The sequence below is a fragment of the Homo sapiens genome, chromosome 6 (genome assembly GCF_000001405.40).
Source record: "Homo sapiens chromosome 6, GRCh38.p14 Primary Assembly".
Classification (NCBI taxonomy): Eukaryota; Metazoa; Chordata; class Mammalia; order Primates; family Hominidae; genus Homo; species Homo sapiens.
The window spans coordinates 83,643,796-83,663,764 of record NC_000006.12 but is presented as its reverse complement, the minus strand read 5'-3'; the positions used below and the strand labels follow the sequence as shown (position 1 = coordinate 83,663,764).

The 19,969-nt window shown below is 36.2% G+C and overlaps 1 protein-coding gene across 72 annotated transcripts in view; it reads left to right on the top strand.

The window, feature by feature from the left end:
* The window catches only part of SNAP91 (synaptosome associated protein 91), a 156,509-nt gene that overhangs the window by 45,629 nt on the left and 90,911 nt on the right, over positions 1–19,969 (top strand). For all 72 annotated transcript variants that reach the window (NR_164843.1, NR_164844.1, NR_164845.1 and 69 more), the window contains 4 exons: positions 1,343–1,418; positions 2,161–2,263; positions 4,673–4,766; positions 6,900–7,011. Coding sequence is in view for 68 of the 72 variants with exons in the window: in NM_001242794.2 (NP_001229723.1) it covers positions 1,343–1,418; positions 2,161–2,263; positions 4,673–4,766; positions 6,900–7,011 (385 nt within the window). In the remaining 4 variants the exon portion in view is untranslated. The remainder of the gene's footprint in view (positions 1–1,342; positions 1,419–2,160; positions 2,264–4,672; positions 4,767–6,899; positions 7,012–19,969) is intronic.

The window sequence follows — 19,969 nt, the reverse complement described above, 5'->3', positions numbered from 1 at the left end:
CACCTTCATGAATTATCTCAGCTAGATCTTCTGGATAACTTGCTGCAGCTTCTTCATCAGCACTTCCTGCTTCACCTTGTACTTTTATATTGTGGAGATGGCTTCTTTCCTTAAACCTCATGAACTAACCTCTGCTAGCATCAAACTTTTATTCTGCAGTTTCCTCACCTCTCTCAGCCCTCCTAGAATTGAAAAAAAGTTGAGGCCTTGCTCTGAATTAGGCTTTGGCTTGAGGGAATGTTGTAGCTGGTTTGATCTTTTATCCAGACCACTCAAACATTCTCCATATCAGCAAGAAAGCTATTTCACTTTCTTATCATTTGTGTGTTCATTAAAGTAGCACTTTCAATTTTCTTCAAGACTTTTCCTTTATATTTACAACTTGGCTAACTGGCACAAGAGAGCTAGCTTTTGGCCTTTCTCAGCTTTCGACATGCCACTCTCATTAAGCTTAATCACTTCTAGCTCTTGACTTAAAGTGAGAGATGTGTGACTCTTCCTTTCATTTGAATATCTAGAGGTCATTGTAGGGTTATTAGTTGGCTTAATTGCAATATTTTTGTGTCTCAGGGAATAAGGAGGCCTGAGGAAAGGGAGAAAGTCAGGGGAACAACCAGCGGTGGTGCAGTCAGAACATATGCCACATTTACTGATTAAGTTTGCCATCATTTATGGGCACAGTTCATGGCAACTCAGAACAATTACATTAGTAACATCAAAGATCACTGATGACAGATCACCAAAACAGATATAATAATAATGAAAAAGTTTGAACTATTGTGAGAATTACCAAAATGTGACACAAAGTGAGCACTGATAGACTGGCTCATCCCTGAGTTGCCACAAATCTTCAATTTGCAAAAAGTGCAATAAAAAAGAAGCTCAATAAAATGAGATATGCCTGTGTTAAAATTATAGGTTCAAAAAATGGATATACCATGTAAACCTATTTTTAAGCAAAAATGTTAGGAGAAGGAACAATAAAATTATTTTTCCCATAGGAAAGATTTCTTTGAATCTTTGAGTGAAAATTGCATTCGTAAGATATTTATTTTGGAAAATACTGATAAAATTAAAATTACCAATTTTATGTAGGATGCCTACTGAATCCTAATAAATTGTAGTATTTCCATTATGTGTAGAAATGAAAGATCGTACAATTTAATTCTAATTCACAAAGCTTTTTTTCCCCTCAGAGAAATTCAGCATTCTAGGAAACTTTATAACTGAGTAAAAGAGATCCCAATGAGAATTTGTTAAAAAAAAAAATCGCTTTAGTGTCAGAAATTGTTTAAAAGTATGATTTTAAAATGTGTGTTTAATTCTAATTTTTGTTTTTCAGAGATTTATTCAATATTTGGCTTCTAGAAATACACTATTCAATCTCAGCAATTTTTTGGACAAAAGTGGATCCCATGGTGAGAATATTTGTATTTTATAATTTTTTGCCAATGCTTTGATTTTTGAAGTGAGGCTATTAATCCAAAATCATTGCAACTGATAGCTTCATTGAATATTTAAGAATGTAAAAATAATTATATTTAAATATAGCTTTAAAATATTTAATTATAGACAACTCAGCATATAAAATATATATTAAGTTTATTTTGGGCGTTTTTACCACGTTTACCTTAAAAAGTAACAGTGGGTGTGCTAGACCCACAGTTGTTTTTTATGAAGGTACAGGAGACAATGAAATAAAAGATGTCTTCTCAATTAAAAAAAGTGATTCGAGTCTTAAAGAAATGTTTTGTGTGGATTAATAGGGTTTGAACTGCATTCATTTGTTCATTTATCATATTCACTGTTTATCTGTTGTGTGTAAAGCAAGCACATCAAGCAAATGGAACATTATCAGATGGCTGCATGAATTAAGTCTGAAACTGGCCATTATTTGAAAAATGAACAAAAGTTCAAGGAAAATTTAAAAACATATTCTGTACTGGAATGGTGGAATAAGTAATTGAAGAATCCTGGAATGCCTCATGGCAAAAGTATTTTTGCCTAGAAGCAGGATTTTAAATGAGATCTATCTGATACAGTTATTGACCCTATCCTAGGACTATCACCATTTAGAGAGTTAAAAAAAAATAGTACTATGCAAAGCACAGTTGAAGGTATTTTATTAATTAGTTTTATTTCTTCTTTCCACTCTCCCAGGTTATGATATGTCTACCTTCATAAGGCGCTATAGTAGATATTTGAATGAAAAGGCTTTTTCTTACAGACAGATGGCCTTTGATTTTGCCAGGGTGAAGAAAGGGTATGTTTTTGTCTTTCTTATATTTATTAGAGGAGAATAAGTCTTTGAGGCATACTTGATTTATTTTAACTAAGCTTAAATGCCAGCTAATTTTCTTGAAGGCCCAGTTTACAATAACCTAAAAAAAGGAACTCAATAATATTGTAGAAGTTAGCCTTGAAGTTGCAATATGCATTATTTTGTTTATATCTTCATGCAGAAAAATCTGATTTGCTTCTCAGTTTATATGCTATAAAATTTTTTTCTTCTCTCTAATCCCAGGACAAATTATATAACATTTTATTTGTTAAAAACTCAAAATTTTTAAACATGTATATACCTTTAAATAATTTAAGAAGGAGGGAATTAAGACAAGATTCACTTAAAAGTATAGTGGCTGTAGATGACAATAGCTATTTGGCCTGGCACAGTGATACCTGTAATCCCAGTACTTTGGGAGGCCAAACTGGGAGGATCATTTGAGCTCAGGAGTTAAAGAACAGCCTGGGCAACGTAGGAGTTAAAGACCAGCCTGGGCAATGCAGTGAGACTTTCTCTCTACTAAAAATTAAACAAATTAGTCAGGCGTGGTGGTGTGTGCCTGTAGTCCCAGCTGCTTGGGAGGCTAAGGCAGGAGGATTGCTTGATCCTAGGAGACTGAGGCTACAGTGAGCTATGTTCATGCCCCTGCACTCCAGCCTGGGCAACCCTGTCTCTAAGACCCTGTGTCAAAAAAAAAAAAGATGGAAAATAGCCAATAGCTATATAAATATTTTTTTTTTAATTGAGGTGAATCTGAACTTTGATCTGGTTTTGAGAGACGTATCATTCTAGAAAACACATATATAAACACACACCATAATCAAACTAATTGTTAATACTACCAATTAAGAAAACCTCATTGAAACAGAAACACTTGAATTTTATCTATAATTACCATTTATTTCCCTCTAAATAGATGCATAAATCTAGTCAGAGGCATTCAGCCACACATTTGTGCATATCTTATATCTGTTCCTCATTTGAAATAATGGCAAGGTACTATAGCAGCTTTAATATTTTAGTCTCAAGAATCCACACAAAAAGATGTAACTTTATTTTTGCAATGGCTAACCTGACCTTAGTTTGGGGCTACTTTTTTTACCATGGTGGTGAAAAACATCAACTTGCCTATTCAAAATAATTTATTGTAGATGAATACTTTATAAAAGTAGGTGTTTTCCTTCACCCTCTTCTCACGAGAGATGATTCTAGTTCATATGCCTTCCTCTAACTTCTTACATGGCACCATGCAACCATTGCTGATGTTCCCAGCTGCATTGTGACCTCTGCAGTAGGTCCATGGCCTTCCTAGAAACTTCTGCACCCCTGTATGAACACATATGGACACTTCAGGTTGCTTTCTCCACTGTTGGTCTGGGAGAGACCCTGAAAGTTGCCATGATCAGCATGTCCACATCATCTGGGTATTTTCTTCAGCTATTACAATACTGCTGCTCCTCAACCATCACCATCACTGGATACAAGGGCTTCCTAAGAGACCTGAAGGTGGAGACAAGGTGCAGTGCACCCTCCGACATCAGCATTAACCTTCAGTCTCATCTTCTGTAGCTAAACTCTTACCTTTGTTTGGGAAAAGTGTTCTTATCAGCATGCATTTTTCTTCCCTTGATGGTTAATAGCATAAACCTTGTACTCCAAGTCATACAGGTTTTATAAACTTCCAAGACATGTTTTCTCTTTCTCAAAAAAAAAGAAAAAAAAACTGGCTTTTTTGAAAGCTTATATTTTGATTGGGCAAAGTGGCTCATGGCTATAGTCTCAGCACTTTGGTAGATCATGGAGGGAGGACTCTGTGAGGTCAGGAGTTTAAGACCAGCCTGGGCAACATAGTGAGACTCCCATCCCTACCAAAACAAATTTTTTAAAAATTAACCGGGTGTGGTGGCATGCACCTGTAGTTCCAGCTACTCATGAGGCTGAGGCAGGAGAATCACTTGTGCCCAGGAGTTTGAGATTACAGTGAGCTATGATCATGCCATTGCACTCCAGTTTGGGTGACAGAGTGAGACTGTCTCAAAAAAAAAAAAAAAAAAAGAAGAAAACATACTTTTCAACACTATTACCTTTATTATAGATTTAGAAAAATCCATTCATAAATTCAGCTTGCCTCTTTTATCCAGACCCGATTGCTTTCTTCCTAAGGGCAGTACACATAGAAAACAAACAAGCATTGCCTGTGCAATGGAGGAATAAGAATAGATAATAGATAGAGGGGGGAAATGACTACAACCTTGTAATACCTCAAATTGATCCCACAGGATTAATAAGGAAATGGGGTGGTGTGGGGGAACAGCTTAGAACAATTCATATGGTCTTGAATTGTCCATATCCAATGAAATTGTACCTTTTTTTTTTTTTTAATTGTAGGGCCGATGGTGTAATGAGGACAATGGCTCCCGAAAAGCTGCTAAAGAGTATGCCAATACTACAGGGACAAATTGATGCACTGCTTGAATTTGATGTATGTATCTCACTAGAAAATGTTTCATACACAATCAATGTTGTCTTTCATTTGAAGATGGGCTACAGGTAAATCCAAAGATTTCCTCGGGAAGCAGCTATAGATCTTCATTTAGATGAATACTTAGTTCAGGCTGTTAAGCTCGGTAAAGATTATTTAGGTTCCCCTGATTTTTCTAAGCAGTTTACCAGGTGTTTACATAAGTCATGGAAAAATATGAATGGTACATTCTTGGAACTTCATGTTCTGAGCAGGATAGTGACTTCCTATTGTACTTGACAGGATGAAGTATCTGCAAGATGTGCCTTCAGGCAGTTAAATAACTTGACCTGCTGTTAGAAATCTTTTTTATTTTTTATTTTATTTTATTTTGTTTTATTTATTTATTTTTTTGAGACGGAGTCTCACTCTGTCACCCAGGCTGGAGTGCAGTGGCGCGATCTCCGCTCACAAGCTCTGCCTCCTGGGTTCACGCCATTCTCCTACCTCAGCCTCCTGAGCAGCTGGGACTGCAGGCGCCCGCCACCATGCCCGGCCAATTTTCTGCATTTTCAGTAGAGATGGCATCTCACCATGCTAGCCAGGATGGTCTCGATCTCCTTACCTCATGATCTGCCTACCTCGGCCTCCCAAAATTCTGGGATTACAGGCATGAGCCACCACGCCTGGCCTAGAAACCATTTTATGCAGATTGCTTAAATGACACTATCCACCAAAGAATTGTGTTTAATCTTAGATAAATTAGTGAATTGTTTCATTGTCAATATCCTGGTTGTGATATTGTACTATAGTTTTATAGGATGTTACCATTAGGATAAACTGGGTAAATGGTATATGGGAGCTTTCTGTATTCCTTCTTACACCTGCATGTAAATTTAGAGTTATCTTAAAATAAAAAAATTAATTTTGAAGAATCTTGAGGCTGGGCATGGCTCACGCCTGTAATCCCAAACTTTGGGAGGCCAAAGCAGGCAGATCACTTGACAAGGTCAGGAGTTTGAGACCAGCATGGCCAACATGGTGAAACTCTGTCTCTACTAAAAATACCAAAAAAAAAAAAAAAAAAAAGCAAGGTGTGGTGGTGCATGCCTGTAATCCTAGCTACTTGGGAGGCTGAGGTGGGAGGATCGCTTGAACCTGGGAGGCAGAGGTAGCAGTGAGCTGAGATCATGCCACTGCACTCCAGTCTAGACGACAGAGTGAGACTCTGTCTCAAAAAAAAAAAAAATCTGAAATCTGATTCATGAAAGTAAAATATTTTGACATGTAGAGACATTATTAACTCATATTGTTCAGCCTTTTTGTATTTTGGTAGTTGCCTACAACAAAGATTTTCCTCAAATTTTAGTAACTTAGCATCTCTGTTAAGATTGTATGGTTTAGTCTATAATTAGGTGCTAATCACAACACCTAACTCCTGTGAAATTTCATAAAAGCAGCAAACCATCTTATTTTTTAACAGATTTTATGATAAGGACTTCACTAAGTATCTGTCGAATTGCCTTTTAGCTTTTATTTTCTTTTTAATTCGTTTATTTTTCTTTACTTTCCTTGACCTTAGTAAGGGTTCTGTCTTAAAAGAGAAAGTCATAAAGGGAAAAAGAAAAGGATTGAGGAGTGGGGAGAAATTATGTGCCTTTGTGTTGATGATTAGAGTAGTTTGGAATAGGTGAACAGTTATGAGTCTCTAGAGTTATTTTAGAGGTAGCTGACTAAGGTATTCCCCATGCTGTTCTTCCACACTGAGTCATTGCAGGCCCCTGGAGCCTGAATCCTTTCACAGAAACTATTAGATAGGAGAAGTGGAAGAAATGTAACATAACAGTAAAAGTAACAAAACACCAGATTTTCAAAAGTTAAATTTGAATAATCTATGGATTAATCTATATAAACACATATATATATAATGCATATATCTGTCTTTTAATCGATAAGACTAACCTCATTGACTTAAATTGAAGCAAAAACATATGTAGTCCATCTTTTGATATTGGTAGGGTTACTAAATGAATTACCAATGTTTGTAGAATATTCATGAATTTCTTAGTAGTCATTTGAGACATTTTAATGTGATTCAAGAAAAATTAAGACTTAATGATATGCCGCTAATATTAAATTTTTCTGTTTTTCTAGGTGCATCCAAATGAACTAACAAATGGTGTCATAAATGCAGCATTTATGCTTCTTTTCAAAGATCTTATCAAACTTTTTGCTTGCTACAATGATGGTGTTATTAACTTACTCGGTAGGTGGAACAACCGAAACATGTCTGGGCTGATGGGATACACAGTAAGATTGATGAATTCTGTGGGGTGAGTCTGTTGTCTCACTTGGTGGGCAATATTGTGTGGAATATCATGATAGTGAGTAAGTCCACAGATGGTGGTACTGGCAGAACGATATGGGCAGAGATGGTAAATCCATATCTAGGGTAACTGGGTGCTAATCATAGTGTAGACAGATTGCTGCTAACCACCCCTAGTAAAAGGAATTAATCCTCAACCTGTTACTTGGTGGATGGCTGGTGTCCCTGGCCTATCGTGTTATGATGAAAGCTCAGTGTTGATCCAGGGTGTTGGCCAACTGAGGACTCAGCAGTGATGATAGGCATATAAGCCTTGGCGATGGGAAGCCTATGCTGTTTAGCCTATTCATAACCTCCATTTCTGATATATACCCACTTCCTATAGAGTTCTCTTAGCCGCCCTCTGATTAGAAAGAGCCTTTTTGTGGGATATGCCCTTTGGTTTTTATTCAAATGGGATGAATATAGTCTCATGCTCTCTATCCATTATGAGAGGTCCATCCATCACCTTTTCTCCAGAACTCCTTGTCACCAATCCTCCAGTTTTATTTTTTTCAAGTACCTTATCATCCAGGCCAACAGTTAGTTGCTACACATAATTTGGTGTAGTTCAATGTTTCTTACCATTTTTCCTTTACCATAAAGTGGAAAATTAGATAGATATATTACTGGAAATTTGACTCACTGTGAAGATTTCTTTCTTTGTCAAGGCCATCCCTTTGTGGGGATATTATTCAGCTTTTCACTTCCAGGTGGTGCCAACATGAGGAACCATCTCTAAACCAAATTTGAATGTTTTCTTCCTCAGTCAGCTGGTGATAGGGAACTCCCCCAGAGTCCATGGGTATAATTTGAGGGAGAAATGGGAAAGAAAAAGAGTAGATGCACTGGGAATATGAACCATCTGTTCATACAATCTACCTGCTTATTCACAACCTGCTTGAGGCTTATCTCTTATAGACTGCTTCTTTTGATAATGGAGTATGATTGCACTTGTTCAACTTTATTATTTGGTACATTAGATAACACCCACTTTAGGTCTGATGATCACTTGATGTTCTTTGGTCAAAATTTAAGTCTCTAAAAGTAAAAGGTAGGTAAAAATAAACCAAGGTAAACTGAGGTAAAAGTAAACCAAGAGCATTTTTTCCAAAGGAGATTAGCTAATGTGTGAAGAAGACATAGCCCTACTCCAAAGCACTGGAGGCCTGTATTGGAGTGTACCAGAGGTACTCTACAGCATTTGAATCTGCTGTACACACTTTAAGTACCTTTAGATCTGCTGAAACAGAGCCCCACGTGGCATCAGTTTGGAGAAGTTGCAGAGTCTTCCCTTAATCTGAGCCTGACTCATATGTGACACTATACCAGATGCTTTGCTTAGAGCAGCACATACACATGTCCTCTATGTTGCCACCAAAGCAGCTTAGCAGACTTCTGCCTCTTTTTAGTTACAAAGAGTGCAAGGTACAAAATTTCTCTTTTACACGGCAAGGATTTCTCTGAAATGCACAGTCTTTGGGGCCCTTAGAAACTTCATTGAGGTGACTGGTCTCTGAATTTTCATGGATTCTCCCATACTTTGACATGCATGTGACTTATCAAGGCAGCTAAGATACCGTCAGTTCTTGCCCACTAAATACATTCAGCCTTATGTCATCAAAATGATATCCTATGGGAGTATGACAGCCAAAGAGGTTGATATCCCTGAAATAAGACAGTGAGGCTTTAATGGCATCTCTGCTAGATGACAGAAAACTACTTCTGATGGTTTCTGTTTATTGAGGTAGAGATAAATCATTACCTAGTTCTGTAGCTGCCTATGAGGTACCAGGAGCTACATTGATTTTCTTCTGGTAAATGAGGATATATCTGGAAACCTGCACATTAGCAGTTATCATCTGATTAAGTTTATAATCTACTGTTAACCTCTCAAATACATACATCTTTTCATAAAACAAATATGCGAGTATACTGAGAATGTGATGGAATTTCTACCCCCGTATCTTTGCAGAAGTCAGAAAAACAGTGTGGATTCTGCTAGTTTTGAAGTATATCTACTCAAACTATGCATTCAGAAAACTGAGGATATAACCACAGATAGTCTTGTGCATTCACTGGATCTAATTTCCTTTTGTAACTTAATCCCCATAAAGCCTCCACTCAGATAGCTAAAACATATAGTGACATTTTGGGTCCCCAAGGAGTAGAATGAGCTTAGAGTCAGTGTCCTTGAAAAGTCTGGGTAGGTAAATCTGACTTCCGGTTTCCAGTTCCACATGGAAGGAGCTTAGAAGTCACCAATATGTCCTAAAAATAAGTACAAAGCTGAACAGACTGAAAAATCAACAGCTCTTCTGGGATCCACAAGAGAGGGGAGGACATAGGGCAAACCTCTGCCCCCAAGATTGGAGAGACAGACAAATACAAGGAGTCATGGATTACTGGAACAGAGACTCACGAGTGGAAGCTGCCATAGGAACTACTGTTGAAGTAGGAAGATCTGAACTGTGATTAATGAATTGTTGGATGCTCAGTGTGGCCAAGTCTGAGAATTAAAAACTCCAAGGGAACCCAGTCATAGAGAGCACCACACTTTTGTTTTACCTCCAGGAGCTCAACTAGGCTCCTATAGTAAATATTAGGGAAAAATCTCCTTGTGCTTCCAGGACGGGGAGGAGAAAAGGAACCATTTTGAAATATGCCAGAGCACTCTTGTCCTTAAGAAGGAGCAACTACTTAACCAGAGCTTTACCTGATGTGCTGAGATTTTATCAGAGCCTAACTGGACTGGGGCAAGAGAAATACCCAACTCCAGCCCACTACATCTATTTTGTCCAAGAGGAAAAACCAAGAAGCATTTGTGAAGTTCACAGTCCAGAGGCATAGACTCACTAAAAAGTGAGACCTAAACACAGGACTATGGAACACTTCCCCTCTCCGCACCTTAACACTACATTAATAAAGACCTATTTACAGCAGTTCCTTTTACCTGGTACATCATGTACAGCTATCAAGAAAAAATTACAAGTCATACTAAATGACAGAAAAACATTCAAAAAGACAGAGCAAGCATCAGAACCCGACATGGCAGGGATGAAGGAATGATCAGACTGGGGATTTAAAGCAATTATGATTAATAGGCTAAGGGCTCCAATGGATAAAATAGGCAGCATGCAAGAACAGATAGGCAATGTAAGCAGAGAGATGGAAATCCTAAAAAAGAACTAAAAAGAAGTACTAGAGGGCAAAACCACTTTGGGATTATTAGCAAACAGGACATGGCTGAGGAAACAATCTTTAAGCTTACAGATATATCAATAGAAACCTCCAAAACTACAAAGCAAAGAGAACAAAGACTAAAAACAAGACAAAAACGGCAGAACAGAATAAGACTGTGGGACAACACAAACAACTAAAAACAAAACAAACATCAGAACAGAATAAGACTGTGGGACAGCAACAAAAGGTGTCATATATGTATAATGGAATACCAGAAGGAAAAGAGAGAAAGGGACAAAATATTTGAAATAATAACGACAGAGAATTTTCCCAAATTAATGTCAGACATCAAACCACATATCCAGGAAGCTCAGAGAACACCAAGTAGGAAATGCCCCCGAAACTACCTTAAGGCATATAATTTTCAAACTATTGAAAATCAAAGATGAATAAATAAATCATGAAAAAGCCAGAGGGAGAAAACACCTTGTCTGTGGAGGAGCAAAAATAAGAATTTTGTATGACTTCACTTCACAAACCATGCAAACAAGAAGTGAATGGAGTGAAATGTTTAGTGCTGAGACAACCCACTTAACCTAGAATTCTTTACCCTGTGAAATAGTCCTTTAAAAGTGAAAGAGAAGACTTTCTCAGTCAAACACAACTGGAAAGAATTTATTGCCAGTAGATCTGCATTTGCGAAAAATGCTAAAAGAAGTTTTGTAGGGAGAAGGAAAATTATATGGGTCATAAACTTGGGTTTACATAAAGAAAGGAAGAATATCAAAAGAAGAGTGAGTGAAGGTAAAATAAAAACTTTTATTTCCCTGATTCTTAGTTGATCTGACAGACAACAGTTTGTTCAAAATAATGATAGCAATAATATATGTTTATGTATTTATAAAGCATATACCTATATGCTTATATATAGGTGAAATGAATGACAGCAGTAATACAAGGGATAGTAGGGAGGAATTCAGATGTTTTGTTGTTATACTCACACTATCAATGAAGCATTATGGTGTTATTTGAAAGTGGCCTTGGATTAGTTGTAAATGTACATAGCAAACTCTATGGGAACCACTAAAAAAGTAAAAAAGAAGTGTAATTGATATGCTAAGAAAGGAGAGAAAATGGAATCTTATAAAGTGCTCATTTAAAACCACAAAGGGTAGAAAAGAGTGGAAGACAAAAATAGGAACAAAGAACAAAGGCAATAAATAGAAAATAGTAACAAATATGGTAGATACTAATCCAGCTATACCAAAAATCACTTTAACCTCAATGGTCTAAATGCATCAATTAAGACAGAGATTACCAGAGTAGATCTAAAAACAAGACCCAACTATATGTTGTCTATAGGAAATCTACTTTAAATATAAAGACACACATAAATTAAGAGTAGAGAGATGGAGAAAAATACACCATGCTAACACTAATCAAAATAAAGCAAGAGTAGTTATATTAATTTCCAGACATGGCAGATGATAAAGGGGTCAATTTTTTCAAACAGATGCAACAGTCCTTAATGCATATGCACCTAACAGCAGACAATCAACAAATATGTGTGGCAAAAACTGCTAGAACTGCAAGGAGAAATAGATGAGTCTACTGGTAGATTTGGATCTTCAACCTCCTCTATCAGTAATGGACAGATTCAGGAGGCAGAAAATCAGTACAGATGAAGTTGAACTCAACAACACCATCAACTAGATATAATGGACATATATCTATATAGACTACTTGACCTAAAAAGAGCAGAATGCACATTCTTCTCAAGCTTGCATAGAACATTCACCAGTAGAGACCACAATCTGAACCATAAAACACATCTTGACAAATTTAAAATAATAGGAATCATACAACCATCTGCTCTCAGACCACAATGGAATTAAACTAAAAATAATAACAAAAGTAACTGGAAAATCTCAGAATAGGTGGAGATTAAACACACTTCTAAATAACACATGGGTCAAAGAAGAAAGCTCAAGAGAAATGTAAGAATATTTTGAACTAAATGATGCTGAAAATACACCTTATCAAAATGTATAGGATGCATTGAAAGCAGTGCTTATACGGAAATTTGTAGTATCAAATGCATATACTAGAAAAGAAGAAAGATCTAAAATCAGTCACCTAAGCTTCCACCTTGGGAAACAAGAAAAAGAAAATTATTCAAAGTAAATGGAAGAAAATAAATAATAAGAATTAGAGCGTAAATCAATGAAATTGAAAACAGGAAATCAATAGAAAAAAATGATGAAACCAAAAGCTGGTTCTTTGAAAAGATCAATAAAATCAATAAGTCTCTAGCCAGACAAAGAAAAAAAAGAGGACACAAATTACTGATAACAGAAATTAAAGAGGGGAGACCACTACAGATCTTATGGATGTTAAAAAGATAAGAGAATATTATGAACAGCTGTATGCCCACAAATTTGATAATCAAATGAAATGGACCAACTCCTTGAAAGATACAGTCTATCTAAACTCATACAAGAAGAAATAGACAACCTGGATAGGCCTCTATCTATTAAAGATACTTAGTCAATAATTAATAACCTTTGAAAACAAAAACCATCAGGCCCACATGGGTTTACTGGTGAATTCTACCAAGCATTTAAGTGAGAAATTATACCAATTCTTTACAATCTCTTCCAGAAGATAGAAATAGAGAAGATTCTTCTTAACTCCTTTTATGAGGCCAGCATTACCTTAACCTCAAAACCAAAGACATTACAAGAAAAGGAAAGTGGCCAGGCGCAATGGCTCATGCCTGTAATCCCAGCACTTTGGGATGCCAAGGGGGATGGATCACTTGAAGTCAGGGGTTCGAGACCAGCCTGGCCAAGATGGTGAAACCCCATCTCTACTAAAAATACAAAAATTAGCTGGGTGTGGTGGTGGGCACCTGTAATCCCAGCTACTCAGGAGGCTGAGGCAAGAGAATTGCTTGAACCAGGAGGTGGAGGTTGCAGTGAGCTGAGATTGTGCCACTGCACTCCAGCCTGGGCAACAGAGTGAGACTCCATCTCAAAAAAAATTAATTTGACTATTAGATTACCAAGCCAGGCTATTAAATAGCTAATATTCTCAGATCTGCCTGTATCTTGTATTATGTCCTGAACCATTCATTCAGTCTCCTAGCCTTCTGCTTCAATATTCATAAAACAACTGAGGTAAATTAGCTAATGTCTTAGATGTCTTCCAACATTAATGTCCGAAGATTTTATTAACTATTGCAATTGCAAATTGAAAATGCAAACTACAGAAAGTACATTATTAGAATTAATACCATGATTTGAATTTTTCATTTATGTATTTTTAATAACCTTTTGCTGTAGGCTTGACTTAAAAAATTCAGTTTGCTTTTGAAATATAACCATGAATAATATTCATCTGGAAAAGAAAGTAGAACTCGTAATGCCAGCTATGGGGTAAAAAAAAAAAATCTTCAACAAATTATAGTAGAACAACTGGATATCCACATGGGAAAGAAATGAACTTTGAACTTTATCTCAATTAGTTGTTCAAAATATACCTACAAATTCTTTGATACTCATCCCCTAAAAAGGTATGAATTGGCTGGGCGTGGTGGCTCACGCCTGTAATCCCAACACTTTGGGAGGCCAAGGTGGGCAGATCACTTGAGGTCAGGAATTCAAGACCAGCCTGGCCAACCTGGTGAAACCCCATCTCTACTAAAAATAACGAAAAAAAAAAAAAAGCCAGGCATGGTGGCTCATGTCTATAGTCCCAGCTACTAGGGAGGCTAAGGCAGGAGAATCACTTGAGCTGGGAGGCAGAGGTTGCAGTGAGCCAAGATTATACTGCTGCACTCCAGCCTGGGCAACAAAGGGAGATTTCACCTCAAAAACAAACAAACAAACAAACAAAAAAGGTATGAACTAACTCCTATCACCTTCAATGTGAGATGGACTTAGAGACACTTCTAATGAATAGAATGAAGCTGAAGCAATGGTGTGAAGCTTTGACACTAAGTTGTAAGAGACACCTTGATTTCTTCCTCACTAGTTCTTGCTTAGATCATTTGCTCTAGGGAAAGCCAGCAGTAAAGTTGTGAGGACACTCAGACAGCCTGTAGAGAGTTCCATACAACAAGAAACTGAGACCTTCTGTCAACAGGTATGTGAGTGAGCCACCCTGCAAGCAGAACCTTTGGCCCCAGACCACTGAGGGCTACAGGCATGGCCAGCAGTTTGACTATAACTTCATGAGGTCCTGAGCCAGAATCATCCAGCTAAGCCACTTCCAAATTCATGACTTATAAGCTGTGTGAGACCAGAAATTTATTTGTTGCTTTAACTGCTAAATTTTGGAGTAATTTGTTATTCAGTAGTAAATAATATGCCTCACAGCAGGCCTAGAAGTGAAATCAAAAGAATTATTGGCCTAAATATAAAAGTTAAAACTAAAAAGCTTCTAGAAGAAAACAAGGACTAGGCAAAGATTTCTTAATTAAAATACAGAAAACATGAACTATAAAAGAGAAAGTTAACAAATTGGACTTCATCAAAATTACTCATGCTCCTCAAAAGACATCATTAAGAATGAAAATACAAGTCACAGAGGAGGAGAAAGTATATGTATTTATGTTTTAGGGATGCCTATCAAGAACAAATAAAAGAACTCAGTAATGAAGACAACTCGATTTTTATAATGTACAAAAGATTTGAACAGACACTACAAAAGAAGATATAAAATGGCTAATAAGCATATAAAAATTATCAATGTCATCAGTTACTGAGGAAATGTAAACTAAAATCACAGTGAGATACCTCTTGGACCTACTAGACTCAACTAAAATTAAAACTACTGATGGTATCAAGTATTAGTGAAGATGTACAGTAACTGGAACTCCTATACACATCTGATAGAAATGTAAAATGGTAAAACGTCAAATGATTTTACCATTTTACATTTACTGTTTTCCTTAAAAAGAAACATACACCTAACTTATGACCCACTAGGATCATATCCTGGATGCTTACCCAAGAGAAATAAGAACCAGTATCCATACAAGGACTAGCACATGAATGTTCAAAAATGTTCATAATAGAAAAAAAAAACCATAAAGAAACTAAATATTCATTAATAGGTACATAGATAAACAAAAGATGTATTCATATTATACAATGCTATTCAACAATAAAAAGGAATTAACTGTTACATTTATGTAATAACATAAATGAATTTCAAAATCATTAGGTTCAAAGAAGCCAAAGAAAAGAGAGTGTGTAATGTATGGCTATTTACATAAAATTTTAGAAAATGCAAACTAACTTACAGTGACAGAAAAGAGACTAGTGGTTACCCATGGTTCAGAGTGGAGGAAGGAATGAACTGCAAAGGGACACAAGAAATTTTTTGAGAGTAATAAAAATGTTCTGTACTGCTGTGGTTTTAATGCTCCCTCCAAAACTCATATTGGAATTTAATTGGCATTGTGATAGTATTAAGAGGTGAAACTTTTAAGAGGTGACTTTTGTCAGGCATGCACTCTCTCACCACGTGATACCTTCTGACATGTTATGATGCAGCAAGAAGGCCCTTATTAGATACAGCCCCTTGATCTTGGACTTCCAGCCACAAGAACTGTGAGCCAAATACATCTTTCTTTACAAGTTATCTGGTGTGTGGTATTCCATGATAGCAGCAGAAAATGGACTGACATGTACCTTGCTTGTGACAGTAATTGATGTTGCATATAACTGTCAAGACACATAAAATCTACACCTTAAATGAATGTAATATATTATATATAAATAACATCTCAGTAGATTTTATTTAAAATTAAAAAAGAAAAGGAAATTACAGACCAATATCTCTCATGAACATAGTTGAAAAATCCTCGATGAAATATTAGCAAATTAAATCCAACAATGTATAAAAAGAATTATAAACCATGACCAAGGGGATTTACCCAGGTATGCAAAGCTGGTTCAACATTTGAAAATCAATTAATGTAATCTGCCACATCAATAAGCTAAAAGAGAAAAATCATATCAGTAGATAAAAGAAAAACATTTGATGAAATCCAACACCCATTCATGACAAAAATTATCAGTGAACTAAGAATAGATGGGGAACTTCATCAACTTGATGAAGAATATGTACAAAAAACTTAATAGCTAACATCATATTTAATGGTGAAAAAGCTAGAAGCTTTCCCAGTAAGATCAGGAGGAAGGCAAAGTGTCTCCTCTCACTACTGCTTTTCACCATCCTACTGGAAGTTCTAGCTAATGCAGTAAGACAAGAAACGGAGATGAAAGGTATACAGATTTGGGATGGAGCAATAAGACTTCTTTGTTCCCAGATTATATGACCATCTATTGTAGAAAATCCAAAAGAATCGACAAAAAAAAAAAACTCCTGGAACTAATAAGCAATTATAGCAAGGTTGCAAGAAAAAATGGTTAATGTACAAAAGTCAGTGGCTTTCTGATATACTAGCAATGAACAAGCAGAATTTGAAATTAAAAACACAATGCCATTAACATCAGCACTCCCTAAAATGAAATACTTAGGTATAAACTTAACAAAATGTCTCTAAGATCTATATGAGGAAAACTATAAAACTCTTATGAAAGAAATCAAACAACTAATAAATGGAGAGATGTTCCATGTTCATGGATAAGAAGGTTCAATACTGTGAATATGTCAGTTCTTTCCAACATGATCTATAGATTCATTGCAATAGTATTCAGTATTTCAGCAAGTAACTGTGGATATTGACAAACTGATTCTAATCAGGTAAAAGACCCAGAATAGCCAACACAATATTGTTGAAGAAGAACAAAGTTGAAGGACTGACCTATCCCACTTTAAAACCTACTGTAATACTACAGTAATCAAGATATTGTGGTATTGGCAAAAGAATAGACAAATAGATCAGTGGAACAGAATAGAGAGCCCAGAAATCAATCCACATTAATATAACCTGATCTATAATAAAGGAGCAAAGATAATCTTTTGAACAAATGGTGCTGGAACAACTGGACGTGCATACACCAAAAAAATTAATCTGGACACAGACCTTATACCCTTTACAAATATTAACTCAAAATGGATCACAGACCTAAATGTAAAATGCAAAACTATAAACATCCTGGAAGGTAACATAGGAGAAAACCTAAATGACCTTGGATATGATGGTGACTTTTTAGATACAACATCAGAGGTGTGATCCATGGAAGAAATAATTGAAGAGCTGGACTTTATTAAAATTAAAAACTTCTGCTCCATGAAAGACAGTGTCAAGAAAAAGAGTAAGATGTGCCACACACTGGAAGACAATATTTGCAAAAACCACATCTGATAAAGGACTGTTGTCCAAAATATACAAAGAACTCTTAGAACTAAAAAATAATAAAACAACCCAATTAAAAATGGGCTAAAAACTTTGATACCTCACCAACAAAGATATGCAGATATTATTCCGTGCTAAAAGGAAATGCAATATCAATCCATGAAAAGGCGTGAAGGAATCTTAAATGCATATTACTAAGTGAAACCAGTCTGAAAAGGCATGTTTTCAGCTCTCTGACATTCTACAAAAGGCAAAGCTATGAAGACAGTAAAAAAGATCATTGGTGTTTAGTGGAGGTCTTATTCTGTCTCCCAGACTGGAGTGCAGTGGCACGAACACAGCTCACTGCAGCCTTGACCTCCTGGGCTCAAGTGATCCTCCTGCCTCAGCCTCCCGAGTAGCTGGGATTACAGACACGCACCACCACTCCTGGCTAATTTTTGAATTTTTTTTTTGTAGACATAGGGGCTTGCTATGTTGCCCAAGCTGGTCTCAAACTCCTGGGTTCAAGCAGTCTTCCCACCTCAGCCTCCCACAGTACTGGGATTATAAGCATGAGCCACCATACCTGGCCAGATTTTTAGGACAGTGAAAATACTCCGTATGATACTAAAATGGTGGATTCATGTCATTATACATTTGTCCAAACCCATAGAATGTACAACACCAAGAGTGAACAGTAATGTATGCTATGGACTTGGGGTGATAATGATGTTCAATGTAGGTTCATCACTTGGAACTAATATGGCACTCTTTTCAGAGGTGTTGATAATAGGGGAGGCTGTGCGTGTTTAGGATCAGGGATAATATGGGAAATCTCTGTAACTTCTGTTTAATTTTGTTGTGAACCTAAAACTACTCTTTAAAAAAGTATTTTTCTAAAAAAAAAAAAGTCAGGATATATCCCTTTACCCTGTGCATAGTCACTATGGTAAAGGTCCATTTGCAGAAGACAAGGAAAAAGTACTTTAAGCAGTGTTCAAGGACTTTCCTCAAGAATATCTGGAGAACTTGTTAAAGCTCAGGTTGCTGAACCTGTTACCCAGAGTTTCTAATTAGTAAGTCTGAGGTGGGGCTTGAGAATTTGCGTTCCTAATAAGGGCCAAAGTCATGCTGTTCCTGGTGGTTTGGGGACTTTAGTTTGGGAATCATTGTATTAGAACCACTCCCAGATGCTCAGACTAGCATTTTGAATTTACATATTTTGGCGTATTCACCTAATTTGATAAATTTTGAGGCAGGTGTATTTTTCATTTGTTTACCTGATAGTGCTAGGAGTTAACCTTATGAATATGTTGTGGGTTAATTTTAGTCAAGGATTTCGTGACCAATACTTTACACCTAATGTTGGAATCAATATTGGTGCTATAAATCTTCACAAATGCTTTATTGCTATAATGAAACTCTGACTTGTAAGTAAGCTGTCTCCCTGACTAATGGTCATTAGTAACAGCTTATGTAGAAACTCTCAGTTTGTCTCTCAGAGATGATAATTTTTTTCATTTGGTTTCTTTCCTAGGACAATTATCCTTCAAAAGTTAATACTAGTATGACAAGGGTAATTTATCACAGCTTTACAAAGGTTCATGTCACAAACATGAAATTTGATCATTTCAAATATTGAAAGTTAACATATGTTACCTTTACTGTGAAAGAAAGGTAGAGGCTCATTTTTGGATGACCAATCCCCTCTTTAAAAGTGCCAGTTTTTTTAGGCCCTGCACTGGTCTGGACAGGGGAGTCTCATTAGCTGTGCCTGTGTCAGTGAAATAGAACATGTTGCCTTTCTGTGTCAATGCTACTATTATAGAAACAATTATGAGATTATGACCTAAATCCACAATGATCGAGTGCTTTTTATTGCTGAGTCCTAAATTATCATGAAGGATACAAACAATTTTAAAAGTATCCAGAGGAGACAGAAAAAAAAATTGGTTAAAATTTTGGTCACTGGTTCTAAAAGGAAATTGAGATATTCAGCTTGATTTTTCTTTTTGTATTATTGCTGAAGATCAGATGCAAAGATATAAACTCAGATTATACTAAAGAGAAGTAATTTGGATATTTGAAAGAAGTTTTTTATATGAAGATTGTTGTAGAAAGAGAGAACAAAAAGTATGTTTTGCCAGAATAAATCCTTATTTTCAAATTTCTTAACAAGAAAAGACTTTCGTCTTATAGCACCGTGAGTTTATCCATTGCATTAGAAAACAGGACAGAGTGGATAAAGAAAGTATCCTTAGATTTGGTCATTTTTTAAAAGACTGTCTTTTCTCTAAACTCCTAGCAAGTAGGAAACAGTATGTGTCTGTTTTCTTGATCTTTTTGCTTCCCTTAAATACC